This window comes from Homo sapiens, chromosome 11 (genome assembly GCF_000001405.40).
Source record: "Homo sapiens chromosome 11, GRCh38.p14 Primary Assembly".
Classification (NCBI taxonomy): Eukaryota; Metazoa; Chordata; class Mammalia; order Primates; family Hominidae; genus Homo; species Homo sapiens.
In genome coordinates this window covers 44,260,377-44,281,712 of record NC_000011.10, presented here as the reverse complement: position 1 = coordinate 44,281,712, position 21,336 = coordinate 44,260,377, and the positions used below count along the sequence as shown (strand labels likewise).

At 54.0% G+C, this 21,336-nt stretch overlaps 1 protein-coding gene across 1 annotated transcript in view, besides 3 other annotated features; it reads left to right on the top strand.

Moving 5' to 3' along the window:
• Positions 1–21,273, top strand: part of ALX4 (ALX homeobox 4) — a 49,700-nt gene extending 28,427 nt beyond the window's left edge. The window contains exons 2-4 of the mRNA NM_021926.4: positions 6,055–6,365; positions 14,091–14,219; positions 16,530–21,273. Coding sequence (NP_068745.2) covers positions 6,055–6,365; positions 14,091–14,219; positions 16,530–16,859 — 770 coding nt within the window. The 3' untranslated portion in view covers positions 16,860–21,273. The remainder of the gene's footprint in view (positions 1–6,054; positions 6,366–14,090; positions 14,220–16,529) is intronic.
• Positions 3,838–4,155: a silencer, noted in NCBI's record as "fragment chr11:44299108-44299425 (GRCh37/hg19 assembly coordinates)". NCBI's record gives its function as "represses an EF-1alpha promoter that drives an FKBP-Casp9 reporter gene in an ReSE screen in HepG2 liver carcinoma cells {active_cell/tissue: HepG2}" and the evidence as "EXISTENCE:reporter gene assay evidence [ECO:0000049][PMID:32094911]".
• Positions 9,499–13,336: an enhancer, noted in NCBI's record as "VISTA enhancer hs2090". NCBI's record gives its function as "enhancer in: eye[3/4] | trigeminal V (ganglion, cranial)[3/4]" and the evidence as "EXISTENCE:transgenic organism evidence [ECO:0001131][PMID:17130149]".
• Positions 19,401–19,900: an enhancer, noted in NCBI's record as "H3K4me1 hESC enhancer chr11:44283363-44283862 (GRCh37/hg19 assembly coordinates)". NCBI's record gives its function as "activates a minimal SCP1, AML or CMV promoter by ChIP-STARR-seq in primed H9 embryonic stem cells {active_cell/tissue: H9 hESC(primed)}" and the evidence as "EXISTENCE:reporter gene assay evidence [ECO:0000049][PMID:30033119]".

Here is a 21,336-nt window from a genome sequence, read left to right as displayed (position 1 = left end):
CAATGGCTAAACTTTAACCTCCGCCCTCACCCCCACAGGACCGTTTGGACAGCAGTGGGTTTAGTCAGTGCCCTTTCAATAGCATGAAAGGGCCTCATGCTGGCCTGTTTTTTTTAAGGAGATTACATCGGTGTGTGCACTCCGCCACAGGGTGTGTGGGGCCAGCTCACCCGAGAACAGAGCAAGCGGCATGTCCCCCACAAAGCAGATGTTTGGAGGAAAAATAGATGTAATCAAAACCATGGAGGATAAAATGACTGAGACCCCTTAGCGCCATATGCATGGGCCTGTGCACGGCTCCACACAGGCCCACACCACCCATGTCCACACCCACCCACGCGGATCTGCACCCACACACAACTGCCCACGGGGACACACATCCCACTTGTGTGCCTGCGCTTGACCACACAAGCATGCACACTCCACAAACCTATCCACAAGCAACTACACATATGTTCCCCACACCCACTCACAATGGCAGACTTGTGCCACAGGCCCTCGGGTGTACATCTGTACATACAGATGCTACCAGCACCCTCTCCCTAAAATGGCTCTAGAAGGTCATTCTTTAAATCACGGCCAAAAAAAAAAAGAAAGAAAGAAAAAAGAAAAATCAGTCACCTTTGGAAACCTCTCAAGGGTTTTCCTGTTTTAAAAAGGTAAAACTAGATTAGAGTGATGCCATTGGGTTGAACCAGGACAGATGGGTAGAGGTTAAGGGAACGAAGCAAGGCTTTCCACTTCATGCATTTCTCCAGCTGAAATCCAACAGCCAGGGGTTCCCAGCACTAGAAACGACAGCTCCCAGTGGTACGGGGGTCCCCCCAGGGGGAGTTCCAGCAGAGGTTGAAGGGCTCAGTGGCTCCCGATTGAGAATACAACCTTGAACTGAATGCTTCCCACTTCATCAAAAGCAGTCTATGGCAATAATGCTGACCTAGGATTGTTTGAAGAGCACTGGATACCATGATGGCCACACTGCGTGCACAACACCCTCCGTGGAGCAGGCATTGCTCTCAGTGATGTAGGTTCACTACTTGATTGATGGCTCTAAGTAGTCAGGGGTTTACTTCCAGATCAAGACTGGGAAGCTGCAGATTGGGACTACATTGTCTTGGACCCCATAGCCTCAGCCCTGGGACAAACTCATCATGGGAGGGGCATCAGCATAGAGCCTTTCCGGGTCCACAAGGAGCTGCTCCAGGGAGGATGTGAGAAGTCCAACCCCTGGCGGGTGGCCTGGACCCACGCTGGGCGCTGTTGCTGCTCAGCCTTATGCCAGCACGAGGTGCCCCAAGGCTCTGAAGAAGGCTTGCCCAGCATCCAGGCAAACTGAGAGCTCCCTGGCGGTCTTCTCTACCCCAGTGTGGTGGCAGGGTGGGTGTGGAGCCAGTTCCTGGCAGATCCTGGACTGGGTTTCTGGACCTTGGTTTCAATTCTGGAGCCGCCCCTATGAAGCCCGTCTCTGCTTCTCCTTCTGTCCCTTGCTCTCTGCATGGAGACATCGCTCAAGGTCTGTCTGGGTCTTTCTTCTCTCCTGTCTCCCGCAGTGACCTTTGCTGTTTGTGCTGTCAGCCTTGAATGGTGGCATTCGTCATTGCGTGCCCTTTTTCAATGTATCCCACCCGACTTTCTCCCCAGTGGGTAGGAGGATGAGGCGGTTGGTTCATTTACTCGAGAGACATTTTCTGCACATGCTCTATAGAACATCGGCTCACCAAAGGTGCACACAGATACCTGGACAGAGCGAGAGCTCAGTGATGTTTGTTAGTTAGAAATTGTTCATTTATTCCTCAGCAACCTCTTACTGCATCTCTGCCACCTGACCTATCCTGTGCTGAGCCTCAGGCTGAGAAGGGACAAACGGCATGAGGTCCCAGCCCCTGGGGAACTGACATTCTATAGGAGGAGCTGGACATTCGGGGCTTGATGAGATTACGAGTCAGCAAACATAGGCAGTCAGTGGAGAGGGTGAGCAGAGGATGGAAAACAGTCACAATCTGGGAGGGCTTCCTGGAGGAGCATTGGATCTTGGAGGTCAGCTGGAAGGAGGAACATGCCAGGCAGGGGCCCGAGATGGGGACTTGGGGGACCAAGGTCAGTGGTTTCCTTTGGTCAGGAGCAGTCAGCCTGAGCCATGGGACTTCTATTTTCAGCAGCCGTCTTGCTGAGGAGGGCACCTTGCGGGGAGTCAGATCTGACCAGCACCCAGGCCTTCAGCTACCATGCTGACACTCCAGCCAGCCCGGGGTCATCTCCCTGGAGAGCAATCTGCTGGCTTTGCCCAGGGCCCAGCCCCACTCCTCATATCATCCCTGCCACCCTCTGTCTCACACAGGCCGGAGAAACTCAGGGCCACCCGAGGAACAGCAGTGGGAACTGCAGAAGGAAGGGAGACTCAGAGGGGTGGCAGTAGCCTCCCAATGTCCGCAGGGACAGGGCTGTCATGGGGAAGGGCGCTGGGGGGTTAGAACTGGAATCAGTGAACCAGACCTACAGGAGACAGACATGGGCTGGGTCTAAAGATGAGTAGTTCTGCTGTCCTGGGGGCAGTGAGCTCCCTGCTACCCTAGACTGGAACCAGCGCCAGGTGGAGATGCTGCAGGGTGGCGAGAGGTGGACATAGACAGCCTGAGCTTGGGGTCTTAGGACTCAGACTCTGAGAGGGCTGTGCTTGTTATTCTGACCAGTTGAGTGGAGCTGCAGAACTTCAGGGAATTTTTCTTTGTTGTCTAAATGAGGAACCCAGCCTCAGAATTTAAAGCAAGCTGACTCAAGACAGGTTAGAAGGCTTGCTTCCTTCTTCCTTGAGGAACCAGGAGCAGCGCTCCCCTGAATTCCTTCCATCTCTGACACAGGCACACCCTCCCCCTCTCCTCCCCTCCCCAGGTCCTCAGGGACAGTCCTGGCTGCTGGTGAGCAAGGGAGGAGGGACCCTCAACTACCCCGCTCTCCCTATTTGTAGGTGAGACTCCAGAGATGAAATGGGTCATCTGAAGTCCTGAGAAGAGCGGGGGCCGAGGCCAGGGCTCCCAACTCTTGGCCTGGTGGTCTTCGCACACCCTGTGCCACCTCTATCTCTGCCTGCTCACTTGGTCTCAGTGGGCAGCTGGAGGTGGGCAAAACTGGACCCTTACTTGTCACCATGAAGACTGGACCTTCTGCCACTTCCCCTGAAAGGCCAAGAGCTGGCTCAGTGCTGAGAGGCTGCCCCCAGGCCGCATCCTCACTCCCTCATCCTCAAGGGCTGGTCCTGCCCCCCACAAGATGGACAGAGCAGGACGCCTTGGTCATATGAGGCCCCTGGGTTCCTTCTGCCCCTACCTCTCTCCCTGGGAATAAGGCCTAAGACCGCAGGGGAGGGAGTAGAGGGCAGGCCAGGAGCTGAGAGGCTGTGCTCTGTCCGGAATTGGGGCATGTTCCCTTCTCTCTCTGGCCTCAGTTTCCCCCCAGTTAAAACTAGGAGTTCAGGCTGGTCCATACCAACTCTCAGTTCCTGTAACATGGAGCTCCCATTGCTGTGCAGGGTGGTCCCAATCCCCAGCAAGCGTCTATGGGGCTGTGAGATGGGGCCTGGGGATCAGAGCTCAGGGCTCAGTGCTCACCTCCCTCAGCCCCTCATCTGGCTTCCAGGAAGTTGCAAAACAGGGATGGTTATTTTTGTGAGGCTGGGTGGGGTTTCTAAAAAAAAAAAAAAAAAACCTAAAACATAAAATGTATTTGTCTGCCAGGAAGATAAATATCTTTGCTGAAAGCTCTTGGCCCAGCTGCCAGCTGCAGTTTGCAGAATGTTGTCACTGAAGCCATGGCTGTCTGCATGTGCCTGGGCTCACACAGGTGTCATGCGTGATGCCGCTGGGCCGGTCGTGCACCCCCATGGCGTCTGCACTGCCAGTGGCCCTCAGGAGCAGCCTCCTGAAGCTGCTTTCAGGCCTACTCTGGGCACTCACCTCTATGCCCTTTCCTTGATGCCTTGGAGAGGGAGGCGAGAATGCCACAGGCCAAATGTCCCTCTCAGCTTCCCCAGTGTGCACAGAAAGCCAGGAATGAGACGAGTCTGAAGCTTCAGCCCTCAGGATCTGGATGGAGTCAGAAGACCTGGACTAGAGGCATCATTCTGACACTTAATGCCCATCGCTTGGACCTATTTCCAGAAGAAGAAACCGCGGGTCAGAGTGGCTGATGCTCACACCTACCACACGTGCTTGTTGTGATGATCAAAGCTCGTGCACGTGAAAGGTCGTGTCAAATGCTCCCCAAACGTCTTATTAATTGTGTTTGTTCTTTCACTCAACAAGTTCCTTTTCCCCAAGTTACAGACAAGGAATACAGTTCTCGAGGAGTTCACACCCACATCTGCAGACACCCAGTTGGCTGCCCTTCCCTAGGCATCTGTGCACGCCCTGCACATGCTCCTGTGCCCAAGGGCCTGCATGCTTGGAGGACTTCTCCAGGGTCGGAGTCCTCTAATGTTCACAGGGTCTGTGGGTTTGCAAGTCCAGACTAGAAATGTGAATATCAATAATGGCAAAACTACATAGCTAGCACACTAGCCTCTTTATTTCCCACAGCTACCCTATGAGGAAGATCCTAGAAGTATCTTCATCCCCATTTTATAGAGGGGGAAACTGAGGCACATAGCGGGTAGGTAAGCTCTCCTGAGCACACAGCTGGGGAGTCATGGCCATAGGATTCATGGCGGGGCTATCAAGAGTCCATGACCTAAACCAGGGGTCCTTAGCCCCCAGGCTGTGGACCAGTACCGATCCATGGCCTGTTAGTAACCGGGCCGCACACAGGAGGTGAGCGGCAGGTGAGCAAGCATTACTGCAAGTTCTGGCTCCTGTCAGATCAGCGGTGCCATTAGATTCTCACAGAGGCGTGAATCCTACTGTGAACCATGCATGTGAGGGATCTAGGTTGCGTGCTCCTTAAGAGAATCTGATGCCTGATGATTTGAGGTGGAACAGTTTCATCCCCAAACCATGCCCCACCACAACCTTCTCCACCCATGGAAAAAATTATCTTCCACAAAACCAGTCCCTGGTGCCAAAAAGGTAGGGACTGTTGTCCCAAACCCTCTGCCAGGAGGTGAGTGTGTCTGCCTAGGAAGCTCACCAGGCTGTGTGGTGGTAAAGTGGCTTCTTGCCTCACTCTCCCACCCCAGCCTCCACCTCTTCTTTCTTGATGTGTATGGGTTGACTCGTCCTTGCAGTCCTGAGCTAGGAATGTGCCGGTGGGTGGGGGGTCCATCTGCCAGACGCAGTGGCTGGGAGCTGTGCTCATGTACACCCACCCAGGCCCGGGGTCAGCGTGCTGGGGATGAAGGTGCCCGGGCAGCCTCAGTAAACAGTGGGCAGGAGCTGCTTGTAACAGGAAATGTGGCCCATGCCTCAATCCCATGCACCCCCAAGGAAGAAAGACCCTTCTCTTGAACAATAGGTGAGACCAGTGTGCAGGGTTGGGGGGCAGGGAAGGAGGTGTTGACTCCTCAGCACTGGACTCTTGGGGCAGAGTCTCCACAGCTCCTGCTGAACTCCTGGTGGGACTAGGCCAGGAAAGGAGGGGCACTCCTGTCTGCCTCAATCCTGGGTCCTCCTCACCCCAAGCCCCACTGGGCCAGACATGGCTGCTGAATGAGTTTCCCTTCCACCCAGGGAGGCCATGGCACTGGGGTCAGAATTCTCGGGCCCCAGAAAAGTCCTGATGCAGGGAATCCCTCTAGAGAGAGGAGCTCAGGGTCAGTGAGGTGGGGATTAAAGGTCACAGAGGTCAGATTGGCTGCCTTAGGTTCACATAACATTGTTGCTGGAAGGGACCTAGTCTAAGATGATGGTGAAGAGGCTCAGATTGGGGAAGAGATTTGCCCAAGGTCACACAGCAAGTTAATGGCAAGCCAGAATTAGAAGCCAAGTCTCCGGACCTCGCATCCAATGAGCTCTAAGAGGAAAAAGGCAGGGGGTGGCTACCCGAGTGCCCCACTCTCCCCCTGACATTCCCCTTCTCTTGTTTGGTTCAACCATTGGTTTCTGACTTTGTTTCCTCCTCCCTCAGCTAAAGAGAGCTCCCTGGGTGAGCCAGAGTTACCCCCTGACTCTGACACTGTGGGGATGGACAGCAGCTACCTGAGTGTCAAGGAGGCTGGGGTGAAGGGGCCCCAGGACCGGGCCAGCTCAGACCTCCCCAGCCCATTGGAGAAGGCCGACTCAGAGAGCAACAAGGGCAAGAAGCGGCGGAACCGGACCACCTTCACCAGCTACCAGCTGGAGGAGCTGGAGAAGGTCTTCCAGAAGACCCACTACCCAGACGTGTATGCGCGGGAACAGCTGGCCATGAGGACAGACCTCACTGAGGCCCGCGTGCAGGTCAGTGAGGGCCACCTGGGAGTGAGGCTGGTAAAGCAGAGCCTGTCCCTGGGCTCTTGGCTGCAGTTGGGGTCTCCTGACTGCCCACCAACCACACCATGGCTTTCCTTTCCTCAGTTCATTGAGAACCTGAAAGTGGGGGCTCCTAGCCTGCCCCTCATGCCCCTGTCCCAACTAGAGCGACTCTGCTTTTATCCTCTTTAATATTGGGCTTCTGCACTGTGGTGGGGGGTTGCAAAGGAAGGAGGGCCTCCAGCAGAGGGGCAGGAAGGCTGCTGCTGGCTGTTTCTGGGCTTTACACAGTGTAAGAGTCCTGGCTCTTTCACACAGAGAAGGGTTACTTGTCCCTGCTCTAGAAGGCCTATCTCTTAGACAGGAAACAGGACAAACATGAAGACAATGTCCACAGCATCCCAGTGGGCAGAAACAGAGAACAGTTTAGCTCTTCCTTCTGCCTAGATGGCTGCATCCCCCTCCATTTTTCAAGTCCCAACTCATACCTCCTCTGAGAAGTCTTCCTGACCACTGTGGCTAAAGCAGTAGCCCCCCTATTACCAGCCAACAACCAAAACACCCAACCCAGTACAATACAGTGGAACCCAACACTCAACCCAACTCATTGCAACCCAACAGAACACAACCCAATAGAACTCAACTCAACACAACACAACACAGTGGAACTCAACACACTCAACCCAACTCAGTGCAACCCAACACAACACAACCCAATAGAACTCAACTCAACCCAGCACAACACAATGGAACTGAACACACTCAACCCAACTCAACCCATTCCAACACAACACAACCCAATATAACACATTCCAATGGAACTCAACCTAACACAACACAACACAATGGAACCTGACACACTCAACTCAACTCAGTGCAACCGAATAGAACTCAACCCAACCCAACACAACACAACCCAATAGAACTCAACTCAACCCAACACAACACAATGGAACTCAACATACTAAACCTAATGCAGCCCCTTCCAACACAACACAACCCAATATAACACATTCCAACAGAACTCAACCTAACACAACACAACACAATGGAACCTGACACACTCAACCCACTCAACACAACCCAATAGAACTCAACCCAACCCAACACAACAGAAGCAAACCAGCTCACCTTTTGTTACACTGTCCTATTTTATCTTCTTAAAAATTTTTTAAATTTTTTTTGTTTTCTTTTTAGAGACAGGGTCTCATTCTATCACCCAGGCTGGAGTGCAATAAGATGATTATAGCTCACTGCAGCCTCAAACTCCTAGGCTAAAGTGATCATCCCACCTCAACCTCCCAAAGTGCTAGAATTATAGGCATGAGCCACCATGCCTGGGCCCATTTTATCTTTTGGGTATTTTTGTTTATTTTTTTTAAAGAGACTGGGTCTCTCTCTGTCACCCAGCGTGGAGTACAGTGGTGTGATCATGGCTCACTGTAGCCTTAACTTCGTGGGCTCAATGGATCCTCCCGCCTCAGTTTCCTGAGTAGCTGGGACCACAGGCATACACCACCACGCCTGGGATAAGTTTTTTTATTTTTTGTAGAGATGGGGTCTTGCTTTGTTGTCCATGTTGGTCTCAAACTCCTGGCCTCAAGTAATCCCTCACCTCAGCCTCCCATACTGCTGGGATTATAGGCATGAGACACTGTGCCCAACTCCTATTTTGTCTTCTTTACAGGATTGTTGACTGGCTTACGTTATTTTACTTGTTTGTCCCCTCCTACTAAACTGTGATTTCCTTGAGATCAAGCACTGATTGTTCATCACTGTATTCCCACCAATTAGAGAAAGCCAAACGCAGAGCATCAAGTCTAAAAAATAAGTATCCGTGGATCAATCAACCCTTGTCCAGAGAGCTGTATCTGCCCCGACCAGCATGAATTCACAGCAAAGAAAGGATCAGAAAGAAAGAAAAGACCCATGAGTAGCCAAAATACAGGTGACAAAATTCACACACTCAAGTTTAAGTTTCAATTTAACACAAAATAAATGTCATAATCAGTCCGCTTTTCCAACCCAAAGCATGTTGGAAATAGCAAATAAAACGTTGCCACATAGCAGTTTTTCCCTCTCCAGTGGGCCAGAAAAATCAATAGCTTCAGAACAAAGAGAAATCTTTTTTTTTTTTTTTTTTTTAATCAGCAAAGCGCCATGCAGCTCAGTGGGCTGAGCCCTTCAATGTTAGGACAGAGATGCCCCAACCCTGCAATCCTCAGCAGGCCCCAGGGACTCTTGAATTAACTCATGAAAGCATCTTCAGCAGCATTGTTCTAAGGCATCAGTAAAAGATTCATCAGTTACAACCATTTTCTGTTTAAGAAGGCAGAGGCATCTCTAATAGAGTCTACAAACTTTTTTTCCAAAATGGCTAATGTGGAAAAGGACTAGTGGTTATCAGTAAATATGTAGCTGTTCAGAAACTGCAGCTACCAGAAGTGATGCTGAAGAGCTGCACGGTTGAGTTGCTGTAAGTTCCCTGAGGGCAGCCTGCCATTTTTTTTTTATTTTTTTATTTTTTGAGACAGGATCTCACTGTGTCACCCAGGTTGGAGTGCAGTGGTGTGATCTTGGCTCACTGCGGCCTCCACCTCCTGGGTTCAAGCGATTCTCATGCCTCAGCCTCCCAAGTAGCTGTGACTACAGGCATGCACCACTACACCCAGCTAATTTTTTTTATTTTTTGGTAGAGATGGAGGTTTCACCATGTTGGCCAGGTTGGTCTTGAACTCATGACCTCAAGTGGTGCACCTGCTTTGGTCTCCCAAAGTGCTGAGATTACAGGCGTGAGCCACCATGCCCAGCCCAGACTGCCTTTTTTTTTTTTAGACAGAGTCTTGTTCTGTCGCCCAGGCTGGAGTGCAGTGGTGCAATCTTGGCTCACTGCAACCTCTGCCTCCCGGGTTCAAGCGATTCTCCTGCCTCAGCCTCCTGAGTAGCTGGGATTACAGGTGTGCACCACCACACCCGGCTAATTTTTGTATATTTAATAGAGATGGGGTTTCACCATGTTGGTTGGCTGGTCTTCAACTCCTGACCTCAGGTGATCCACCACCTCAGCCTCCCAAAGTGCTGGGATTACAGGCATGAGCCACTGCACCTGGCAAGACTGCCATTTTATTCCCCTCCAGTGCCTAATGAATGTTTGATGAAGGATGACAGGGCAGCTGGGGCTTTCCTGTGAATCCAGAAGCCCTCACACACCCAGATCTCACTTGAATTTGGACAACCAGCCACTCACATGACCTTACATGCCTGAGTTTGGACAGGAATCCTAGCATCTAGCCTGATCTCCAGCAAATGGATTGGGGAGGACCCACAGGTGTAGGTAGAGAAAGGGGCATAGCTGGTTATGGGACAGCCCTGTAGGTGCTGTGTTGGTGTGGGATAAACCTGTTCCTTTTCTGTGCAGTATGTGTGTACATTTGTGTTTGCATATGTGGGTTGCATGCATGCTTCCTAACAAATATATGGGAGTGCCCGGGAGTAGAATTCACTAAGTACTGAAAGAAGAATGACGCCTTGAGTACAAAACATGAAAACAAAGGCGCACAGAGCATTTTTCAGTTGCCACCATACAACTAAAACAGAGTGTTCTCTGCACACACACATGCGCGCGCACACACACACACTTATACCTACTTCCAAAATGGAGTTGAGGTAGCTTACAATTAAAGATTTATTTGTTCAATCTAAAAACAAGAACAATGGCATGAAATGCAGAGGTAATGTGGTAAAAAAAAATTTAGGCTAAGGTTCATGGTTGCCATTGAGCACAAACTTCAACTTGGAGCTTCCTGGCAGCCAAGGCAGAAAGGGAAACTCTGACGTGCTGCATATCTTATCACCTAGTGGGAGGACCACAGAACTATAGAACGGTAGTGCTGGAAATGATCACCCCATCTTCCCATTTGATAGACGAGGAAGAAGAGGCCCATAGGTGGGAAGTCATAACCTGAAGTTAACAGCAGCCACTCAGTAGCAGCACTGCGACTGGAATCCGGGACTCCTGAGTCGCAGCCTAGTGCTTCTTTGACTTTAGTTTGCTGTACAAGGACACATGCCAGATTGTTCAGAGGCTTTTCTTTGTATAAAGGCAGCAGGGTGGGTGGGATCTTCATGTGCGTCAGACCTCTGGGTTGAGCCCTAAGCCTGGCAGTGCCCTGGGGGGGTAAGGGGGTGGTGATGGAACCCCCTGCCTGCCTCTGCTGTGTTTGTTCAGGGCCCATACTCAGCTGGTGGCAAGCCAGGTGCCTGGCGTAGAGTGGTGGTGGGGACAGGGACGGGGCAATGGGGGCCCCAAGATGGACTTTTCCTGGGAAGAAGCCTAGGGTTTGGCCCTGCTCCAGGGGGCTGCAGGGGCCTCTCTCTGCTGTCTGGGATTCCAATCTCTGCAGCTGGTGTCTGAAGACAATAAGACAGAGGCCTCCCCGCCCTGGGCCACCCCGCCCTGGCCCCAGATGGGCTGCGGTTAGCGAGGCCTCCGCCAAGACAGTTGGTTCCTTGCACAGCCCGGTCCTCGGGAGAGGCCTGTGCTGAGTGGGCCCAGGCTGGGGTGGTCCTGAGGTATGACATTCAGACCGGGAGAACAGTGGGGACCTCGTGGTTGGCTGTCCTCCTGGGGCTGCACAGTGGAGACAGGCCTGCGGTGCAGAGCTGGGAGGCACAGGAACGGGCGTGGGGGTTGGTGTGGCATCTGGAAGGGAGCTCTCGGAGCCCCTGGGGCGCCAGGGGTCAGAAATGGATGGACACTCCAAGCCTCAGGACCTGCAGATGTGAGCATAGAAGGGGTCGTGAGGATACCCTTGCTGCCTCCAATTTACTGGGGAGGATATTGAGGACCGGCCAGGCTCACCTAGCTCATGTCTGGATCTGGGCAGAAAAGCCAGAACTGGGTGCGCAGGGTAAGGCCCCAGGACAAAGGAACAGGAGAAGAAGGAGGGAGGAGGTGGGCAGCCCTGCTCCCACCGGTCGCTCACCCGCCTCTCACCATTTCCATCTTCAGCCCTCAAATAAATCCCTCAGCCTGACCTTCTTCCACTCCTGTTCCAAAGACGGTGCTAGCTCTGCTGGCCTCTCCCCCGCCTGGTCATCTGTCTTCCCCAGATAACCCACATCTCCTCCTCCCTCACACTCAGCTCCAGCGAGCCCGCGCCCCACATTCCACTCCCCCACATGGCTCCTCCCTCCACTCTAGACCCCTTTGCCAGGCGCTGGCCACCTCCTTCCCTCTTCGGGGTCCCTCCCCGCCCATCCCTGGATCCTCTGTTCCAGAGCCTGTAGGGACATCTTCCACTTCCACAGTCCCACCATGGGGACCTGGAACCCACAGAGACACAAGGAGAACCCCAACAGTCACAGTGACAAAAAGAAAAAGAGAAGCCATCTCTCTCCGTGCCTCCAGTGGCTTCTCCCCTCCCCCCAGCTTCCCCCACAGAAAACCCTGGGAGGCTGAGGAAGGAGCGGAAAGACGGAGCTAAGCCTGCAGGAAATTAAACATGAAATGAAAACAAGCTCCTCTGATTCATTCTCTCATCCTGGCCCCAGTCTCCCATCCCAGGCCACTGATAAAGAGGGATCCCATTTCAGCAGCACAGAGAGGAGACCCCATCTGTCCTTGGCTCCCAGTGGGCAGCCAGGGCCTGGACCCTAGGAATCCCTGGAGGAAAAGGGGCCCTGGGAGGCCAGGGCAGGGGCTGAGACCCCAAACTGGGGAGAGGGTCCGTTTCTAAGGAAGAGGCTTCTCCTCCCCCAGTCAATGTGTGTGCACACATGCACGTGCGTGTAGCCACACTAGTGGGTACACTCGTGCACGCACACACATGCTTAGGATTAGGGAGGGGAAAGTGAGTTGGTACAGGAGTGGAGAAACATAATAATGTACACCCCTGCTCACCCCCACCCTCCTCACAGTAACATGAGATACATCCCCATCTTCCTTGACCTCTTTCCTCTAGCAAAAGACAGTGAGAAAGGTCAGGAGCTGTAAAGAAACAAATGGGAAGTACTCTAAACATTCTTGGACTGCATTTCCCATCTATCTCCCCTGCTGCGACTATGAGGTACCATTCGCCATGCAGAAACTGAGGCCCTTGGCAATACCAGTGCTCCTATGAGCCTGTCCATTGGCCAGCTACACTGGATGCCCAAAGAGGCCAGGCAGCGTCTGTGAGGAAGCACGTCCACACCTCCTTCTCCCCTCCTCGCAGTGGTTCCTAGGAAGCTCAAAGGCTCTGAGGCAGAGGAATTTTGAGAGCTGACTCCTATATTTAGCTCAGCAGCTGCATTGGTCGTGATGGATGGAGAAATGTTTCCACCTGGAGAGCAGGGACTGGACCTCAGGAAAGTTGGCTTTCTTGATGCCTGGGCCTGGAAGGGCCTGGCAAGGCTCCTTATGGCTCTGCAGCTGAGGCTATTGTCATGGCTCTGTTCTCCCGGTCTGCAGCGTGCTGTCTGAGGTGTGCCCACTTGCATCTGAGTCTGCAAAGCCAGCAGACAAGTGCACATCAAGCTGGCAGAGGCCTCCCTCTGAGGAGCACCACGGTCCATCTCTGAATCAGCCTAAAGCCATTCCTGGCCTGGAAGCTGATCCCTCCTCACTCTCCCTCTCTCACCCACCCCGTCCCCATCACCCCTTCTCCAGATCCTAAGTCATGGGCCAGGGGTAGGGCAGCTCTTGCTCTTGAGCCTTGGGAAAGTTCTCAGCCTTCCAGAAATGCTCGTGCAAAGGAAAAGGACCCAATACTCCCCGTCACCAAAAACCCCAGTGCTCACAGCTGACTCAGAGACCTCCCCTCCCCCGTTGGGCTCCCAATCAGGCCAACATCCCATCCACTTGTGCTCAGTGACGGGTTGGCCTCCACTTCCTCTCACCATCAGGCCACGCTTCTACACAAGATTTTATAGCAACTGCCTCTACAGACAGCACCAAGGGAAAAACCCTTCACTTGGCAGTCAAGGCCCCCTGCGATCTGACTCTGTTTCTTTCTCTCCCACCGCTTCCTTCAAATTGACCTCTTTAGGTTTTTGGAGTATGCCTTGCTGTTTCTAAACCTAGGCCTTGGCTTTCCTCCTTTCAGCCAACCATTCAAGGCCCAGCTCCTGTCCCTCCTCCAGGAAGTCTTCCCTGACTGCCTCTGTTGCCCAGCAGAGCCCCTGTTCTCCCTTTAACACAGGGGAGTTCTGAGCTGGGAGACTGTCTCCAACAAGAAGGCTGCAGACAGGATGCAGGGAGGAAGGCATTGTGAATCTGGACCAATAAGCCTTAGAGAGCCATGAACCTTTTGGAAAACTGTGGCAAAACTGTGTGTGATTGTCTAGGAGAACACATCTGGAGGAGCATTTGTAGCTTTTATCAGCTTCTCCACAGGAGTCTGCTTAGATGACTGCTAAGATGACCAGTGACTTGTTTTATAGGTGGTGACACTTGGCTGCTCTAGATTCTCAAGCTTAGAAAAATAAAAGTTCTGGCTCAGGATCACGCCCATGGCTAGTGGGGGTAAGATACCTTCCCAGCTCAGAGTGGATGATTCTAGATTGTCAGCTCTTGAGGACAAAGACCAAGGTTGATATTTATGTGTGGCCGCACCGTTTCCCAAACGCACTGCAACTGATGGGGGGCTCAAGGGAACAGTTTGCACTGCCTGAAAGTGAGGCCTCCAGGCGGGCATCTCACCCTGGTGACAATGGCTTTTTCGCGTCTTGTAGGTCTGGTTCCAGAACCGAAGGGCCAAGTGGAGGAAGCGGGAGCGTTTTGGGCAGATGCAGCAGGTTCGAACCCACTTCTCCACTGCATATGAGCTGCCCCTCCTCACCCGAGCTGAGAACTACGCCCAGGTAAGTCCCGCCCTGAGCTGCCGCCACCGATCCCCAGCCCCTGGTGCTCTGAGAATGAGCCCCTTGGAGGAGAGCCCAGGCACCCCGAGATGACTTATGGCTCCAGGCTGCCCTTCCGTCTCATTCCAGGGGTGTGCCTGTTTATACCAGAGTGTGGGAGGCCCAGGGTTAATCTATCCAACTAATCATTGAACCAGGCTTGGCTGAACTTTAGGGAAGGGAAGGTTGGGGCAGTGAGAACGGCTCTTTCCTCCACTAGCTTTGGCCACTTTTGCTGTGGGCATCGGAACCAAGGCAGGCAGAAGGCCACCAGGCCCTCAGATACCGCTCGGAGGGTCTCTTCAGAAAGCGAGCTCTGAAATCTCCAGGACTCGTGGCCAAGTTGGAATGAGCTTGGGATTCTGAGTCCGGGGACTTAGGTTATCTTTCCAGCTCCAGGTCTTTCTCACTTTAGGCAAGTCTCAAATCTCTGAGCCTCAGTTTCTTCACCTGTACCTTGGACATGGTAAAAGCATCTGCTCAGCTCTGTTGTCAGGCAGTTGTAAGGTCTAAATTCAATCATGCAAAAGTATTTTGTGAATTGTACAGTTTCAAAAAGCTTGTGTGCCTGTGCTCAGCTTCTGGGGCCCTGTCCTCCCCTCCCCCCAGAGCATTTTCCCTAGGTGTCTGTCAGCCAGTCCCCTGTTCTAGTGTGAGATGCAAGGGATGAGAAGTATTGAGTCACATCAGGCACATGGGATGCTTAGAGAGATGTGTTTTTGGCCAAGTCCAAGTCCTCTCCTGACCCCCACTCAGCCTGCCCAGCAGAAGCGGCTGCTCCCTACCTGCTCAGGCCTCATTCTGGCATGGCCTCCACCTCAGCTCCCAACCTGGCCCTGCTCAGCAGCCAGCCAGTAGCACGGGCGCCCCTGCCTCCTTTACTTCTCCCTGACCTGGTTCTGTGCTAGCAAATGGTCTCTGGCTCTCCAACCAGACCAGCCCTCTGTTCCCTCTCCCCCAGCCCAGGATTCATGGGGCAGGAGGGCAGGGCACAGGCCTGGAGGTGAGGCTGAGGAATATGGGGTGTCTCACACAGGCACCATCAGCATCAGCTCGCACTATGTTCTTCCATTCTCTTTCTCCCCTCTCCCTCCCTAAACTCAGCCTCCCTCTGTCCTCCCAGGATGGAACTCTAGCTCCCTCCTTGGCTTTGAGCTCTGCTGCCTGAGCGCACAGCTGGAGGGAGAACCCAACACAGGGCCCTGTTCACCCCTCCTACCCCCACCTCACCTACAGCACCACATAGTGTGTGCTCAGACCTCTTCTGAGAGGGGGTGATGGAGGCCAACCGGTCCCCCTTCCCCTGCACCGCAGAGAGAAATGCGGTTCCCTCCAGGATGGGGGCTGAGCTCTTTCTCCCTGCTTTAAAATGCCTCCCTCGAGTGTGCTCCAGACACATGCAGGAGGGCAGGCCAGCAGAAGCCCACATGAGGTTACCAGGAATCCCGTGTGCATAAGCTGAGAGGTTCCCGGGTCTCCCCCACACCCTAATTCTACCTCCTTATACGTGCCTAGAAGGTAGAGGAAGATGGGAGCCCCAGGTGAACGTTGGGGAGGGAAGGGAAGCCCAGTGGCACAGATGGAAGATAAGATGGCCAACTCATCCCTGCACATGCCCTCGCCCCTTTGGCACGAGGAGGTCCGGTCTCAGATCTGGCTGTCCACTCCTGAGGCAGCCCCTTCCATCCTGAGTTAGTTCTGAAGCCTCCTAGTTCAGGCCCTGGAACCTCAGCCACTGACCCTTGGTTTCTGAGAGGTTTAGGTCCCTGCCGCCCACCTCACCCAACCCCTCCATCTTCCCTGCTACTGGTGGGGGCCCAAGGGAACCTGCGAGGCCAAAGCTCTCCGAGTTGAGGTCTGCTCACCTTGCTCAGGTGCCTATGGATGTGAGGGGCCTGGGGAGGAGCTGGAGGTGAATGAGACACAGCTGCCATCCGCAGATGGAGGCCAAGTCTACAGTTGAGTCTAAAAATAGGAAGCCAGCTGGGGGGTGCTGGGGTGTCACCCTTCCACTGGACCCTTAATGAAGCCTGAGGTCACTCTTTAGAACTGAATTTCCCTCTGCTGCTAGCCTGGCCCTGGGAACAGAGATGCCAAGGTGTAAAAGCCACCCCCACAGGGGTATCTGGATGTCCATCAAGGCTAAACACTCAAGAGGGGCTTCATGGGAAGGATGGACAGTGAGGGGAGAGGTGCTCTGGGGGAAGGGGCGAGCCCCTTCCACACCACACCTGCCCGCCAGCCGGTGACATCTCTCCCTTCCTCTCCCAGATTCAGAACCCGTCCTGGCTCGGCAACAACGGGGCTGCCTCACCAGTGCCAGCCTGCGTGGTCCCCTGCGACCCGGTGCCTGCCTGCATGTCCCCTCATGCCCACCCCCCTGGCTCTGGGGCCAGCAGCGTCACCGACTTCCTGAGTGTGTCTGGGGCTGGCAGTCACGTGGGCCAGACGCACATGGGCAGCCTGTTTGGAGCAGCCAGCCTCAGCCCAGGCCTCAATGGCTACGAGCTCAACGGCGAGCCGGACCGCAAGACCTCGAGCATCGCGGCCCTCCGCATGAAGGCCAAGGAGCACAGTGCGGCCATTTCCTGGGCCACATGACAGGGCACCCCTGCCCCGTCCCCACCTCGGGACACCATGGGCCACGCCCATGTTTTCCAGGCCCCCAGCCTCCCACTCGACTTTCCTCTTAGGAACCTGGCCTGGGCCAGGGGCCTGACCCTCAGCACTTTCAGCCGCCCCAAGTCTGAGGCCCCGTGGACTGCTGGGAGGGAGGGGGCAGCAGGCCCCTGGCCCCTCCCTGGCACTGAGGCCCTGACCCCTGCTCCCGGCCACAGGCAGTGGAGAAAGCCAGGTGGCCACGTTTTTCAGCTTCGCATCCATGATAAGCTGAAAGCGCTTTCTTGCTCCCGCCCACTCCTCTGCTCTGCCTAGTTGACCATGAGTCAATGCTAGATTTCCATGCAGACCCAGCAGCCTCACCAGCCCAGTCTTGTCCATCCTTCCCGCTCCTAGTGGGGTCCCCTGGTCACCAGGCCGGTGGCTGTGTGTCTGAAGCACAGGCTGCCCTGCAGAGCCAGCCTCCTGCCCTCCCATCTTTCTCTCCCTGAAAGCACACGGAATCCGACCTGCTGGGGCCAAGGCGCCAGCCTCCACCTCCCCCCGAACAGTGACGAGTCTGACAGAGCCTGGCTGACTGCATCCTGGCTGTCCCCTAGGCTGGATACACCTGGAGAGAGTGGGCAGAGGATGACAGGAGCTGGAGCCGAGGACCCCTGCTGCCATCTAGCAATGCCAGTCCCCAGGGGAGACACGGGCCAGCCCCTCACTGGACACTATAGGGGAGGAGCCAGACCTGAGGGAGGCTGAGAACACAGATGCCACAAGGGCTCCCATGGTGCTAGAAGAAGGAAAGGTCCTGGGAGAGGGGGAGGCATCCGGGTGGGGCGTGGGCCCGGGCAGTCCTCCCGCTCTCCGGCCTGCCTGGCATCTGGTACAGCGGGGAGGTCTGGGCAGCTTTGTTCTCCATCCAGAGCCCAGTCAGGTTCCCTCCAGGAGGATGCGGAGGGGCTCGTCTCTTCCCTGCCCTACCCTGGCCCCTCCCTGGGGCTGCTCAGCAGTGTCCCGGCATGGAAGGACTCACAACTTCGGAACACATAAGCTAGAGCTTGGGGGCCGGGTGGCAGAGGGTCAAAAGCTGCGTGCAGGCTTTGCTAGAGGACGTGTGGCCATGCTCGGCCTCCAGGCCCTGCTATGGCCTCAAACTGACTGTCCTCCCTGCCATATCTGTCAGTGTCATCGCTGCCCAGAGCCTTCCACGGCAGATGGGGGCTCTGTGTCCCTCCAGGCACTAGGAGGTGTTGCTCTTCTCCACACAGCTTTCCACACTCCGTCCTTACACTTCTTCCACAGGGACCAGGACTCTCTGCCCTCTCTCCAGCCTGCGGAAGGGCTCCTGGCCTGGGCTCCTCGGTGTGGCTTTGCTATTGCAAATGGGGCTGTCAGGATGCCCTCCTGAAACCAGGCTTCCTGCCTCCAGGAAGCGGGGCTCTGTGCCTGCCTGCCCGACCCCTGTAGCTTGGGTCTGGCCCTGAGCCCCAGCCCTCACCTCAGCTGGGAGTACACAGTAACCGTCCAGAGGCAGGCCTGTCAGACCCCAGGTGGGGGGTCCCTCCAGCAGGCAGCGCCCCGCATTGAAGCGCTCGCCTTTTCTACCTTCTCCCTTGATTCCTGTCATGGAGTAGGGCCAGGCCCACTATGCTCAGGGTCGTGGACACAGAAAGGCCTCCTGGGTTGGGCGGAGGGTAAACTTGGTGTTGTTGAATGAGGGTCTCTGGGGTTGGGGGTGACAGTCTCCCGCCTGCCTGGTGTTCTCATCTGCTCTAGAAACCAGGCTGAGGAAGGGTCTGGCTGTGGCCTCCCTTAATGAGTCAGACCTCTTTGTGAACCGTAGCTCTAAAATGGATCTTATAGAGGTGAAAGGGTCTTGGACATTGAATTAAATGTTCTTGGAGGCTTGGCTTTAAGTGTTTCAAATATTTGAGGATTTGGAGTGACTTTTGGGAAGTTTTTTCTAGTTCTGAGGTTCGCTGAAATGACCCAGACTCCCCCAAAATCTAGCCAGGGAAAGGAAGAACTTAAGGCTGGGAACAGTTTCCCCATTTCTCCCCCCTTTCCTTCTGAAATGCTCATGGCTGAGGAAGGATGGGGAAGGAAGGAACTTTCACCTTGGGTCTTTCTCACCCATGAGAGAATCAGGACAAAGAGGAGGAGAGCCAGGTAGCTCCAGAGTGGGCCAGGAGGGAGAGCAAGGGAATCAGGACAAAGAGGAGGACAGACAGGTAGCTCCAGAGCAGGCAGGGAGGGAGAGTGAGAGCTTTAAGGGGGCTCTTCCGCAGTGGCCCCCGGCACTCAGTTCCTCCATGCGTCTGCTCTCTGGCTGGGCTAGACCCAAGTCAGGCAAATTTCAACCCAAAAGCTTGAGAAGAAAAGGCGTCTATTAGAAGACTCTGTGGCTATGGCTGCCTGTCCCAACACACCCAGGAAGTGTCTAGGATTAAACATGCCAATGTGAAACATTCCTGTTCATCTCGTCAAAGGCAGCCACGTACCCCAGGCCTGTCCTCTGTGGCTTGGCCCAGCCCTTGGGGGCCACCTAACCACACTAAGTATGATAGGACCACCGAGTTGGGAGGAAGCTTAGAAACCCTCTAGTTAGTCCAGTCCCTTCACAACAGAGAAGACCCTGGCCCAGAGTGGAGACATGACTGCCCTGACCTGTACTTGCCCTGAGACTAGGCTGAGAGAGGAGCCTGGGACGTGCCACCCAGGGTGTGAGGGCCTGGGCTTCGTTGGCACCAGGGGCGGCCGGTGCTGCATGGAGCTCCCCTCTCCAATGCCTCATGGGCATTCACTCAGCAGCTCAGTTCTCCAGAAGAGAACCTTGGGGCCCAGTCCCTTCCAAGACAGGTGGCTAGGCCCAACCTTCTGCACTGCAGAGCAGGGGGCCACTGCCGTGTCAGCTCCTAGGATGACTGAGCAAGTCAGGGCAGCTGCCCAAGGCCATCTGGAGCTAAAGCTCATGAAGGCAGGTGGAGAGAAGCATCTACCTGCCACGTGGTTCATTGCTATGCGAATAAGCTAAGAGAGGTGAGGATTTCCTTTGGATACCTGCCTAAGATCTCAACAGAGATGGCAACTTAAAAATAAAGTCGTGGGTAGCCGGCAGATGGATGGGCAGCCTCCCCACACTGACAGCCTCCAGTCCCTGCTGGGCACAGGTCTCAGCATGGCAAGGCTTGACACTAAGGTGCTGCTACTGCCCTCCAGATGCCAGCACTACTCCTGGGGCATGGGAGCGAGGGCTCTGGGGGGCACACAGAGAGGCTTGTCTCCAAGGCTGAAATAGCACTTGGAGGACATGGGCTTTTAGAACTTTCCTTGAATTCTTTTAACTATACTTGATTCTCAGCGCTCACTACCGTGCCTCCAGCTTCGGGAAGCACGGTGGCCAGGTTAGCTCAAAGACACTGCGATGGGGTAGGTGCAGCAAGTGTGGGGTGGGTCCCCAGCACACACAGCTGTGATCACACTGGACCCAGCTCCGTGCCCCATCTCCTGTCATTTCGGCTGGGCAGACGAGGGACGCTTCCATGAAAACTACGTACCCTGCTTATGCAGTCATTCCCTCCCTGGGCTAGACAGTGGGGGGCCATCTTCGAGAACCTGAAAGACACGCGGGGGTTCCTGGTCTGTTTCATGGCCCTTACTGTCCAGTGCAAAGGCAAACAGGCCTAGCTGGGGGAGGATGGTTGGTAAACTGGCCCCCAGGATAATACTCTGTGACTATCCAGTTAAAAAATAAGAAGGTGACAATGACCCATCAACCCCACTTCACTTCTTTCAGGATGCTGTAGGGAGGAAAGGTGCTTCCATGACCTAACCTCGGCCTCTCCTTTCTTCCCTCTTCACTCACACACATAGAGCTAGGCCTTTATACTACTGATTTTGAAGGACAGTTTTCAATGTCTAATCATCTGTTTAGGTGTGCAGTGGTTGAAAAAAGAAAGCTGAGTGCTAGAAGGAACATGAACCTCAACCGTTACTTATTGTTCTCATTGTAAGATATTTTAACCCTGTATAAATGCAACTTTTCCTTTAGCTTAATGGCCTGGGGTGGAATATTAAAAATATATATTAAAAATACAGTAAAAATCCAGAAAAATGTAAAAAAAAAAATGAGGTCGGTTCCATAAAGTTTTACTGCCTATACCACCATGTAACTACATTATAGCAAAATATTAAAAGAAACGTTCTTGCCTTTTAAAGTAAGTTATTGCACTTACATCTTTTTTGGGAGAGGAGGAACACGGATGGGAAGGAGATGTAGGGGCCCAGGCATGGGGCAAAATGGAGTGCAGAGGTAGCCGGGCACTCCCAGAACACCCTTTGCTGGCCCAGCCCAAACTGTTTGGTTGTTGTTATTTGCAATAAACTCCTTCTCCTTCCTCCTCTCAACTGGAATCTGTCTGTTTTGTTCCTGACTTGTGACAGATGAAATGTGATCAGAGGGGCCTCT